At 38.0% G+C, this 13,281-nt stretch overlaps 1 protein-coding gene across 2 annotated transcripts in view, besides 1 other annotated feature; it reads left to right on the top strand.

The window, feature by feature from the left end:
- ANKRD44 (ankyrin repeat domain 44) overlaps nucleotides 1-4,677 on the top strand; it is a 343,767-nt gene extending 339,090 nt beyond the window's left edge. For both annotated transcript variants that reach the window (XM_047446287.1, XM_005246948.3), the window contains exon 28: nucleotides 4,245-4,677. In XM_047446287.1, the coding sequence (XP_047302243.1) occupies nucleotides 4,245-4,252 (8 nt within the window). In that variant the 3' untranslated portion in view covers nucleotides 4,253-4,677. The remainder of the gene's footprint in view (nucleotides 1-4,244) is intronic.
- Nucleotides 9,557-9,666: a silencer, noted in NCBI's record as "silent region_12207". NCBI's record gives its function as "represses an Ori minimal core promoter by ATAC-STARR-seq in GM12878 lymphoblastoid cells {active_cell/tissue: GM12878}" and the evidence as "EXISTENCE:reporter gene assay evidence [ECO:0000049][PMID:35858748]".

Below are 13,281 nucleotides of genomic sequence, written 5' to 3'. Positions count from 1 at the left end.
ATCCTCTTCTGGTATGTATGAGTTAAATATTACTCCTTTAGAAAAGTAGAGACACGCATGCCAAAATGTTTATTGCATTTTTTGGTAGTAGAAAAAACTCAAGAAAATCTTAATGTAATTCTAGTATATCCCTACTATGAAAAAAAATGCAGCTGTTAAAAATAATTAATGTGGGGCATGGTGGCACATGCCGGTACTCCCAGCTACTCAGGAGACTAAGGCACGAGAATCACTTGAACCCAGGAGGGGAAGGTTGCAGTGAGCCGAGATCGCACCACTGCACTCCAGCCTGGGTGAGAGACTGAGACTCGTCTCAAACAAATAATAATAATAAAAATAATAATAAATGTGGTTAAGAAATATCAAGTATGGTTTGAAAAAGCAAGTTGCAGTTAAATGTTTATGGTTGTAATCTCAAATGATATCAATGAAAAATTCACATATTGTTTATAGGTGTCATTTTGTATGATCACAAGCAAAGTTATGTCAGGACCTACTCTATAATGTTATAGGAAGAAAGTATAAGGAATGGTAAAGTTGTAGTTAAAGGGAAGATGTGCATGACATAATGTTAAGTGAAAATATAAAATGTAGAATTAAAATTGGTTTATATGCAAAAAAAATATGCAAACATTGAATATGCCTATGGACAAGGGCTATAAGATAACATAGAAAAAATTAAAATATTGGCCAGTCGTGGTGGCTTATGCCTGTAATCCTAGGACTTTGGGAGGCCGAGGCGGGAGGATCACTTGAGCCCAGGCATTTGAGACAAGTGTGAGCAACATGGCAAAACCCCGTCTCTACAAAGAATACAAAAAATTAGCCAGGTGTGGTGGCATATGCCTGTAGTCCCAGCTACCCAGGAGGCTGAGGTGAGAGGACCACTTGAGACCAGGAGGTAGAGGCTGCAGTGAGCCCTGATCACACCACTGCACTCCAGCCTGGGCAACAGAGTGAGACCATGTCTCAAAAAGAAATATTGATTTAATCAAGTGACAGAATCTCAGGCAATTTTTGTTCTGAATTTATGCTGGTTGTTTTTGCAATAAAGATTTTTTTAAGAGACTGGAATGCATAAATAAGGATTGGGGGGGTGGGTAAGTCAATCATTCTACTTAATGCTATGTTAATACTGTTCAGTAGAACCAGTTCTAAGCTCCATAGCTAAAGAGTAATGAAGAAAACTTGGAGATGCTCCAATAAGAGCCATCAAAATATTAAGAATTTAAGAATACACAGTTTTAGGAAGAGTAAAAGGAACTGAACTCAAACAGCTTAAAGCTTCCTTCAACTGTAAAACACGGAGATTTGACTCAGTAATTTCTCATATCCTTCCAGCTCTAACATTTTTTTTGTTCTGAGACTAGATCCGTTAGTCAACAGAGAAACTGCCAACTACCCACAGCATCTGAAACAGTGAACTCAGCATATGAAGATGCTGAGGAATAACCATGGTTGAAGGCTGACTGCATCTTAGTCCTTCCATCATAAGAAGAATTTCTTCCAGACAGAAGAGGTTAAGGAGATGTGCCCATTCTCCTCTGAGCAAGAGAGTAAACGGGCTTTAACCGCAGCATGACAAATTTAGGATCATGGAAAGTTATCTGAAAAAATGTAGTAAATGTAGAGTTAACACAAGACTGATTTTAAAGTCCCCCTATCTCCACTTTAAAATTTTGAAGTCCCTATTAGGGGGATCTTAAAATTACTGAGTCAAATCTCCATGTTTTACAGTTGAAGAAACCTTTAAGCTAAGTTCAGTTCCTTTTATTGTTCCTAAAAGGATATATTCTTAAATTCTTAATATTTTGATGGTTCTTATTGGAGCACCTCCAGATTTTCTTCATTACTCCTTAGCTGCGGAGCTTAGAGCTGGTTCTGAACACTATTAACGTAGCATTAAATAGAATGATTGATTTACCTCCCAATCCTTATTTATGCATTCCAATGTCTTAAAATAAATATTTATTGCAAAAACAACCAACATAAATTCAGAACTAAAATTGCCCATGATTCTGTCATTTGATTAAATCTACCATTAGCCATGTAGATGGTATATCACTAGCAATGTAGATGCCACTAGCAATGTAGCTGGTATATCACTTTCTGTTGTAATTATGTGATTACATCTGTGTGATAGAGATAAAATGTTCTGTGCCAATGCTCCTCATCCCCTACCTCCTTCCTGCCACATACCAAACGACAGTTTGTTTGTCAAATTCTGGATTTTTTTTTTCTGGAGTGGAAGAATAAAAAGTGGTATAAAAACAGGAATGAAAATGAAGAAGAAAAATGCAAGGGTCTGGTGAAAGCAGCCAAATCTATGAACAAATGGAGAACTCAGAGAAAGGGTCTTGCCACCAGGGTGGGAAAGAGTTTGGGAAGATTAGCACATGAGAACCTCTCGGTAATCAAAGTCTCTAAATATGACAAATTGAATTGAGACTCCTTTCATATTCTTTGAGAAGCTAAATAAATATTGAAGTATATTTTAAATTAGCATTTGGAAACTAAACTGGGTTTCCCACAAAGAGACTAAGCCATGTGGGTCCTAGGTTTTATTTAGGTTACATGTATCTGTTGCCTCCCTTTCTACTCCACACATATTTCTTCAGTACCTAACACAGTGCCTGAATGATTCAATAAGTGAATGTATGAGTGGCACATATGTATAAATAAGTTGTATCTGGTTCCTTCTGAGAAAATTCCCAGGTTTCAAAATCAGTATTAACCAACATTTCCAGGTGATGTCACTTTGCTGAATATTTAAGCACTAATGGTCCTTGAAGCCAGGCCAGCAGATGAGAGGACTGCCTACAGGTTGAATATAGACAGGGGGGCCTGCGTGAAAGCTCAAAATGGAAAGACAATAGTAAAAGTGATGCAATTGTGGCAATAGTTAAGATGATAGCTATTAATGTGACAGCCAAGAGAAAGACAAGGCAAAGGCTTAAGAGTAGAACAAGCTGTGAGATCAGTGACCAGGAGAGTCCAAAGGATGATGTCCATGTACAAGTCCCAGATAAATGAGGTATGTTCAGAGAGCTGAGAAGAGGAAATTCTTCAGAATGTGTCTTCTACTGGGGCATGTTTAGCTGTTTAAAAACACTGGGTCAGGCTGTGCATCATCCTCCTTTCTGATCCTCCTCCTCCCACTAGGCAGGGCAGTCCAGACTGTTCAAGGCAAGTATTATAATGGGCAAAACTGGCACAAATCATGTCAGTATCCTGGAACAATACTGGTAGTCACTGTATTATACACTGTCACAAACTTGTGGTTAAATAAATAAATAAAGATGATGATGATGCTGTGAAATTTATCTGTGAAGTAAGACATAAACTCCTTGGTACACTCTCCCTGCCAATGGCCCTTTGTGGAACCATTCCTGGAGCCAATTTCAGTAACATCCTTGAGGAAATCTAATATTTTCCGTCAACCAATTCCATTTCCACATTTGGTCTCTTCTGATAATTCACAGTTAATTTTCCTCTTGGAATAAATCTTTTAAGTTGCTATGGACTTGATATAGAAGTGTATTAGGCCGTTCTTGCATTGCTATAAAGAAATATCTGAGGCTGGGTAATTTACAAAGAAAAGAGGTTTATTTGGCTCATGGTTCTGCAGGCTTTACCGGAAGTGTGGTGCTGGCCTCTGCTCAGCTTCTAGGGAAGCCTCAGGAAGCTTACAGTTATGGTGGAAGGCAAAAGGAGAGCAGGCATGTCACATGGCCAGAGCAAGAGCAAGTGAGAGAGAGAGAGAGAGAGAGAGAGAGAGTGCCAAGCCATGAGGGATCCACCCCAATGACCCAGACACCTCCCACCCCACCTCCAGCATTGGGGATTACAATTCAGCATGAGATTTGGGCAAGGACAAATATCCAAACTATATCGAGAAGATAGCATAAACCTGTGAGAATTGTTTTTCAGATTCTTAATGACAGCATTTCTATCAGTTGAGTTTCTTTCCTAATGTAGGATCAGCTTTTGTTGCCATTGTATGAAATTGAGTCCTACATTGTTTATTGCATACGATTATTTGTATAGTTAGTTTTTTAAAGAACTAGTTTGTACCGGTTTGCATTGGTATCATATTTCTGCAAATATTTTCCTTACTTGAGCATTCCCCATCCCCCATTTTGAGAAAATTAACATAATTGCACTTTCTTTTTTACCGAAAAATGCAACAATTAACATAATTGCACACTTTTTCTTTTCTTTTCTTTTTTTAAATGGCAACTCAGGCTGTTAACCATTCAAGATCCAAGAACATCGGTTGGCTGCAAAACAGGCACCCTGAGGGACCAATTATGAATCAGAATGCACTTTATCCCAGCCACAGAACGCAAAGGGTTACACTCTGCAGGAGCTGCGGTTGGGGAAGGGAAAGGGAGTAACCGGATTCGCCTTGCCTGTCTGTGATTGGGAAGCACGCACCCTTTATTTTCCAACTGGGAACAAGATACTGGAAATTCCTCTTTCCCTTAGAAAACAGAAGGCAAGGGTGTTGGCTGTGGAAATTAGAACTGGGTAATATTTCTAGAGCACTTTGAAATTCTTTCAGGATAAGTGTTATACGAACACAAATGATTTCTTTCATTGTTAAATTGTGTTCCTATCATTGGTAACGCCCCAAGTAAAGCCTTTTTAATTAAAAATCTCTGGATGCTATAACAAGTAACTGTGTAACTAAGTAGCAAGAGAACTTTGCCGTGTAGTGAAGGGGGAGTCAAAGATAGGCAAAACCAGCCTCTGATTAAATTACCTTTGCTTGCCACTTCCCATTACATATTATAGTATACTTTCTGCTGGACAAAATCGAAAGGAGATAAGATGGACATAAGGGTAGGAAAATCATTCAAAATGTGAGCCTCTAAGATCACATTGAAAGGAAGAGGAGAAACCAGGTGTGTTGTGGAGACAAAGAGAGGTGCCTAATGGATTTGAAGTCCACTAATGTGGGAGGGAAAATAAATCCTGGAGTTATAACTCCTGAATTATAAGACAGGAAGAAAGTCAGGAAGTGGAAACTCAAGAATGAATGTGGAAAGGAATTTGATCATATTTTGAAATGGCTTCTGAGCCATAGAAAATTAAAGTACCACACTTTATAGACCAATACTGTGGAAAATGACATTCTCTCTCATTTCATTTTCCAGTTTATTTCATCTGTAAAGAATTAGCCCTGGGAACCATATTAGCCAATTTATATTAATTTATACTATTAAGTTGTACTTAAATGGGTAACTATTATAATTAGCCACGTTTCAGGGGATAAGACTGGTACCCCCATTTTGTTTGCTACAACTACTCACTTCCAAAGATCGATTCTATTTAAACGTTTCCATGTCTTCCTAAGGTAAGTGTGTGTAATAAACAGTTTGAACTCTCACCAGTTTTCTTATCAAACTCATTAAAGGCCCAGGTTCCTGGAATTTATTGCCTTCTTGTCCTTATCCCCTCCCCCAGCCCCCACACTCTTTCTATATTAGCTTTTCTCAAAAGGTAGTCTGCACACCTTCCTTTGTGTCCTAGAGACCCTTTGAAAGGGTCCACAAGTTAGAATCTATTTTCATTATAATTCTAAGAGGAATTGCCTTTTTCACTGATGGTGCCAAAGCAAGTTTTATAGTGGATAAATCTGCTGGTGCCTTGGCACAAATGTCAGTGTACTGGAACTGTACTGGCTATCATTGTATTCTACACTGTCACATACTTGCAGGGAAAAAAAAGATGGAGTAAAAATGATCAATTTTATTAAACCTCAGTCCTTGAAGAAATGAAAGCACACACAAAGCCCTGTGCTGCATACTGAAGTACAATGGTTCCAGCACCGTGTGATTGCTGGAGTGCTGGAGCTGCTAGCTGAATTGGCTGCTTTTTCACGGAACACCTTTTCACTTGAAACACAAAGATAAGATGAAGGATGGTTACTCAGACTAGGGTATCTGGCAGGTATTTTCCTGAAAATAAATGAAGCGAGCCTGTCACTTCAAGGAAAACAGCTCACGGTATTTTTAAATGAATTAATGATTTTTTAAAAATGTCTCAGTTTTAATTTCTAATATCATAAATATTAATAAATATAACCTACATGAACAAAAGCTCTTTGGGATCCTCAGTTATTTTTTAAGAGCGTCAAAGAATCCTGGGAACAAAAAGTTTGAGAACAGCTGCTCTATATAAATGCTTCCCAGAGTGTGTTCTTTGAAAGTCTGGCCCTTGGGGTGCTCTCCTTCTGTGCTATCCAAACATATTGGGTAATTTAAACTAGCCACATGTGGTTATGTATTTGTTTATTTTTAATTTTTAATTTTGATGGGTACATAGTAGGTGTATATACTTATGGGGTACATGAGATATCTTGATACAGGCATACAATTGAATGTGTAATAATTACATCAGGGTAAATGAAGTATCCATCGCCTCGAGCGTTTATCATCTCTTTGTGTTACAAACATTCCAATTATACTCTTTTAGTTATTTTAAAATGTACTATAAATTATTGTTGACTGTAGTCACTGGGGTTATTTAAATTTACATTAAAATTTAATAATCAGTTGTGCAGTTGCGCTAGCTACGATTTAAATGTTCAATAGCTAAATGTGGCTAACAGCTTATACAACATTTTCATCATTGCAGAAAGGATGCTGCAGTCAGGGAGGATTGCATACACCTCCTTCTCTGGTTTATTCACCATGTTCATTGGAAGCAAAATTCTGAAAGGAGGAAATACTGTTTTCATTTGGTTTAAACATTTCTCAAGTTTATTTGAACATAGACTTTATTTTTCGTGTAACATCTCTATTTTATGAAACATACGTTGAAAAATGCTATTCTGCCTTTTCCCAATATTATTAACTATTCCATTGAATATGAAGTTTTGTTGTAAGCAATTTTCATACCTCTTTTGAAAGTAAATGGGTATAAATAATAAAGTATAGAAACCTATCATCTAAATCTAAATTTCATTCCTTTGCTAGTTCACACTGAGGATTTCCCTCTATGCAGTGTATATTCCAGTTCACATTACTTTTCTGATTATTTCTGAATTTTTAGTCCATGTAATGGTTGCCAACAAAGTTATATATTTGGGTTTTCTACACACAGTGTCAAAGGCTGTACCCCTGATTGGGAATCCCTGTGACTTCTGAGTATCCCCACCAGTCAATAAGATTTTGCAAGCTTTAGAGATTTTTAGTAATAAACTTTTAACTTTAGAATAGTTTTAGACAAAGAAAAATTGTAAGAGTCACAGATAATTCCCATTACCCCATACCCAGTTTCCCCTATTGTTAACGATATTGCTATAATTTGTCTCCAAGCTTTAATTTTACAAAAATGAAGGCTTATTTATTATTTTCCAAATGAAAATCATAATACTGGATATGTTTGTTCAAACCACATGCACTCCAACACCCCACCACATGAGTCATTATTTCAAGCTTCCCTTAAGTGTAGTAAGCTTAGGTGCCAAATAGCTCCTAGTCTTATCATGTAAGGCCAACAACCCCCATCACACACACCTTTCCCAGGTAGGTGAGCAGCTGGGCTGGTGACATTGGCACCAGGGCTGTGAGCAGGCAGTGCTGGCTAGAAGTTATTGGGCCACAGGAAAACATGGCCCCCAGCCAGGGTCAGGGAGCCAAGGTGGTAACAATGTGAAGTGAGACTCCGAAGTGAAAAGTCAGCAATGGAGAACAGGTAAGACAGATGCAGAAAGCTGAAAAAACTCCCAGAAGGAAAGGAAATGCACAGAGAAGTGGACAGCATGGGTTGCTTGCAGATGAGTTCATGAGTTGGGCGGGAGCTGTTAAGAACACTGAACTGGTATGGATGAATTACGCATTCTTTATAAGAAAATAGTTTTTTAAAGTAGCATGCATATTGATTAATTTTCATGCTGTTTTTAATTTTTTCTCTCCTAAGAGAAATTCATGTATATTCATATTCATGTTTGTGAATGCATATACAAAGACAATCTGGAAGTATATACACCAGGCTATAGTCAGTGATTACTTCTAGGGGTGGGAATTGGGGGGTTGGGATTAGAGTCGGGTGATATGATACGAAGGGGGTATTTTGTTTTACATTATACTTACTTCTAGAGTGTTTCAGTTATTTACAGACTATATTAACATATCGCTCAGAGAAATAAAGAAAACAAGCAGTAAAAGTAATACATGTTTGTTTATAAAAATCAGAAATATTGAGAAGTATATGAAAAAATTTAAATTATTTGTATGCTCACCACCCTGTGATAATAACTTCTTTTAGTGAGTTTCTTTCTCATCCCTACCTCCCTCTCCTTAATATTTAGATATATAGATGTTGTAGACTGTAATATTGCTCACAAATACTTGGTGCCCTTCCCTGTCCTGTTGAACACAGATGAGGCCATGTGACTTCCTGTGAACAATGAATCATGAGGAGGATTGATGAGTGTCACTTCTGGGCCAAAGCTTTAAGAACCTGCTCGTGGGTCTCCATGTTCTCTGTTCTTCATTTCTGCAATCATGGAAGCTTGTCTTGAGATGAAGCGTCTGTCATCTTTATGTATTCCTGAGTATCTATGAAGATTACAGCAACCCTGATGACTCAAGATGGACAGGCAGTATAAAGGAGAAATAAGCCTTGTTGTTGTAAGCAGCAGAGATTATCAGGTTTTTAATGTAGCATAATTACCTTACCCTGACAGAAAATATACATAGATATTTGTGAGTATTTGTATGTAAATGAAACTGTATGTATATATGTATGTGTATACAGAGATACACATATATAAAATTCATCATCGGTATGAAGGTAGGTTCATACTCTATCATTCTTTTTTGACTTAATATTTCACTACAAAAATTTTCCTATCTTACCAATTTTTGAAAATATGATTTTAATGGCTGTATATTATTTCATTTCATGGACTATTCCATTTCATGGCTGTATATCATTCCATTTCATGGACTTACCATAATGTATTTATCTCCTTTGGGCAGACATTCAGATTGTTTCCAAGTTTGACCCATGTACATTTTCAGTAAACATCTTTGAGGACAAATATTTGTCCACCGCTCTGACTCAGGATAAATTTCATACTTACGATAAATACCAAGAAATGAGATGACTGTTAATTCTAGAGCTGACTCTTTTCTCACCCTCTTGGCTTCTTATAGCTTCCATGATTGCCTCATCTCCATGGGGCTCCTCTATGTCAACAAGGTAAAATAGTTCAGCTGCCAACCCACAGGTACAGAGGCACTGAATCTCTGGCAGTTTTAATAGATGGGATAAAAATCCTATCCAAAGACAAGGTTGAGATTTTCTTCACTTAGGAATTTTCATTAAAAAACTAAGAGTAAAACAAAACAATACTTACAAAATGGAACTTTCTGCTGCATATAACTTCTAGCCAAAGAGTACCCTTCAGGGTTCCCAGTCCTGAGGTCTTTTACTCACCTCCTCCCCAACTGGGTTAGATGTGATAGTTGCCTGGTCCCTCCCAGAACCAGATTTCTGGCATTGTCTGCAGCCCACTCTCACATATGTGCCAATCCTACCCTGTTGCTCTTCAGGAGCTCTGCATGAACCTGAAAGTAGCACTTTCTCACTCTATAACTGTTGGTTTCCTGTTCTGTCTTTCCACTAAGTTACACTGTGATCTTCTTGAAGGCAGAGACTGTATTTCACTTCCACAACCATAATGATCAGCATGGTACCCAGAACTTATCTGACTTAGATAAGTGTATACATGGATGCAAGCATGAACTAATGTGTGGACTCATACATATGTGAATGCATGAATCAATGACTAGTCAAAGGGAGATATGAGGAGTATATTTTTCCATCTCCAGCATCTAAAAGGGACTGTCTTCCCACTTTCAGGATAGTTAATTTTTACATATAAATGAGCAGTTTATTTGTAAGGTATGGGTGTTTATAAGATTGGTGTTCATAACTTGCAGAATTCATGTACCTTTGAGGAACATTCTGAAAACCAAACAAGTATTTCTTTTTTCTTCCCTTAGGATTAAGTGGCACTTATGAAAAGGAAAGAGAAAATAAAGGAAAATAAGAGAATGAGGCAAGATCTTTATCACCATGTCTTTCTGAAGTGAGAGACACATTCCTTTATTTAACTAGTCAGTGCCTTGATACAAAGTGTGAGGAGCGTGTAGGGAAACAGGCTCTCTTAGTCATCATTGGTGGGAGTGTAAATTGGTGCCAACATTTTGGAGGTAATTTTGGGAGTATTTATCAAAATTCTAAATGCATATACCATCTGGCCAAGCAATTCAACCCCTGGGGGTTTATGTCCCAGAATGCTTCCATAATGCATAAATATGAATGTATAAGGATGTTAGTTGCAGCACCATCTCTAATAATCAAAATTTGAAAATAATCCAGATGCCCATCAAAAGGGGATTGGATAAATAATGTTAATCAATATAGTGGGATCTATCCAATTTAAATTATTTAGTGATAAAAGCTAAATTGCACATAACATGAACCCACATTCTAGAAAGAAGATGTAAATGCATCAGGATGTAAGACAAGAAGGATATATTGCAAATGTAGTGGTGGCTACCTGTGGGGAGTAGGGATTGGGGTAGGAGTAGAAGAGACTTTTTTTTTTTTTTTTTGAGATCAAGTCTCATTCTGTCACCTATGCTGGAGTGCAATGGCACAATCTTGGCTCACTGCAACCTCCGCCTCCAGGGATCAAGTGATTCTCCTACCTCAGCCTCCCTAGCAACTGGGATTTTAGGTGCCTGCCACCATGCCTGGCTAATGTTTGTATTTTTAGTAGAGATGGGATTTCGCCATGTTGGCCAGGCTGGCCTCGAATTCCTGACTTTAGGTGATCCACCCACCTCGGCCTCCCAAAATGCTGGAGTTACAGGCGTGAGCCACCACACATGGCTGGAAGAGACCTTTTTGATCTTATGTATTTACTTCTGTATTTAAAAAAATTATCTAAAACAAATATGCATTGCCTTTTAAATAAATATTTTAAAAATAAAAACAATAATTAATTGCTAATTTGTCAAGCCCTGGGCTGAGAATTGACCTATTCTTGGGCATTAGAAATCTTTAGTGATCGTAAACATTTCCTTTGAGGTCATTTAAATGATGGGAAGAACAAAACTGAGCAAAATACTAGAAATATCAAAATTTCAGCCATCTGATCCACATTCAAGTCCTGTTTTAGAAATATCATAGCCCTATGTTGAACTCTTTTTTACTATAGAATAGGAACTTTTGAATGAGACCATTTAAAATTATCCAAGACTCCAATTCTGGAAGTTTTTTTTTTTTTTTTTTCAGCTTTCTGCCTCACCTACGTGTCAAGTCAGACTTGGTGTTGGTTGGATTTATTTTAATTTATCCTCAGCCTTCCAAGAGCAAGTCCCTCAGTAACAGTTTCTGAATGGCCTGTTATCTGTTATGTTTTGTTTGCACATGGAAGTTGTCACGTGTTCTCTGTGACAACATGATTTCTCAATATTCAAGGGCTGAATCCTTTTCCTGACCACATTTTCTACTTGGCTTGGGATCTTCTAGAGGTTACCCATACCAAGCTCTTTTAAACTTACATAGGAATTAGTTGCTATTTTGAGCCAGCACCACACCAAGCTCTAGACAACTTCAAGCTCCCTATTATTCATATCTACTTCTAAATAATTAAAGCCATGGACAACAATATCTGGCTACATCAGCCAGTGCTTTGCGCAGGCTGAAGAATGGAGAAAGTTCACTGAACTGCTGCTATGCACTTTATTGCCATAGCTCTGGGCAAAACCTTCAAGTGGTTGCATTTTGTATGCAGGATTGCTGGCCAAACTTTTGAATTATGCTACACAATGTCACAGGCCATTTCAGCTGGCGTCCAGACACTCCTAGTATAAAAACAACCACCAGCACCCACTGTACATTTTCTCTCATTGACATTGCTGGGTGCTTTTGTTTGGTAATAGCTTGGGGCAGGGAAGAGGGGTGATGAGGATAATGGAGACGATAACATGACACTGAGGCCATTGGGTGGATTGTGAGCCCCTAGAACTACAGAATATTTTTTTTCATGAACAGGACTTGCTTTGGGGCCCAGATGTCAAAGAGTGACACAGAGTTGGAGAGGGCCATTTTTTCCCACCTCCCTGTGGAATCCAGTATTGTTCTGGCACATGTGATGGGGACTTTGGAGACATTGGGAGACAGTATTCTCAGCACATTCTTGGTCAAGTGTTTCGCAGTGGACTTCCTCAGTGAAGGCAGTGATAAAAATTTCTTCCAGCTGCTTGCCAGGACTTCATGTTGACAGATGAGAACTGGAGCAGACAAGAAAAAATACTAGGGATGCTCCAAGAGGGCCAGGACAGAGATTTCTGTAGGACTCTGTTGTATCCTCTCACATAGTATGCACTCAGTACCTATTAATTAAGTGGGTGGATGATTCTAGTAGTGATTAAAGCTGATAGATTGGTTTGTGAATATGAGGAAAGCATATGTTCAGGGACTCCCAGAAATAACCAGGACCATTTTGAAGAAAAATAGCTACTGTTTAAAGAAAATAAAATTTGAATCCCATTATAATTTATACAATGTGTGACCTAAATTTGTTTCTACAGGTAAAGTGTGTGACCACATTTGTTTCTACAGGTAAAGATAGGTGACAATTGGATTAGAAATATTTTCTAAACCACAATTGGTAAAATAACTTGTAAGAAATCAATGATCTACTTGGCTTTTTTTTTTTTGGCAGGAGTATAAACATCATTTATAAAATTAAGTCATATTCATCGTGGTCTTGACTAGATTTTTCCATAGGATCTATAACTCCATACCTAAATTATCCTGTTTCTAAAAATGTAGTGATAAGTTTGGCTCTGTGTCCACACCCAAATCTCATGTTGAGTTGTAATCCCCAGTGTTACGAGAGGGACTTGGTGGGAAGTGATTGGATCATGGGGGTGGATTTCCCCCATGCTGGTCTCATGATAGTGAGTTCTCACGAGATCTGATGGTTTAAAAGTGTGTGGCACTTCCCCCTTTGCTCCTTCTCTCTCCTGCCACCATGTGAGGAAGATGCTTGCTTCTCCTTTACCTTCCAACATGATTGTAAGTTTCCTGAGGCCTCCTAGTCATGCTTCCTGTTAAGCCTGCAGAACTGTGAGTCAATTAAACCTCTTTTCTTCATAAATTACCCAGTCTCAGGTAGTTCTTTATAGCAGTGTGAGAACAGACTAATACATGCAGTAAATATGCTTAAGGAACAAAAATTCTATG

Source organism: Homo sapiens, chromosome 2, assembly GCF_000001405.40.
Source record: "Homo sapiens chromosome 2, GRCh38.p14 Primary Assembly".
Classification (NCBI taxonomy): Eukaryota; Metazoa; Chordata; class Mammalia; order Primates; family Hominidae; genus Homo; species Homo sapiens.
The sequence above is the reverse complement of the archived record's forward strand: the minus strand, read 5'-3'. Positions and strand labels throughout refer to the sequence as shown.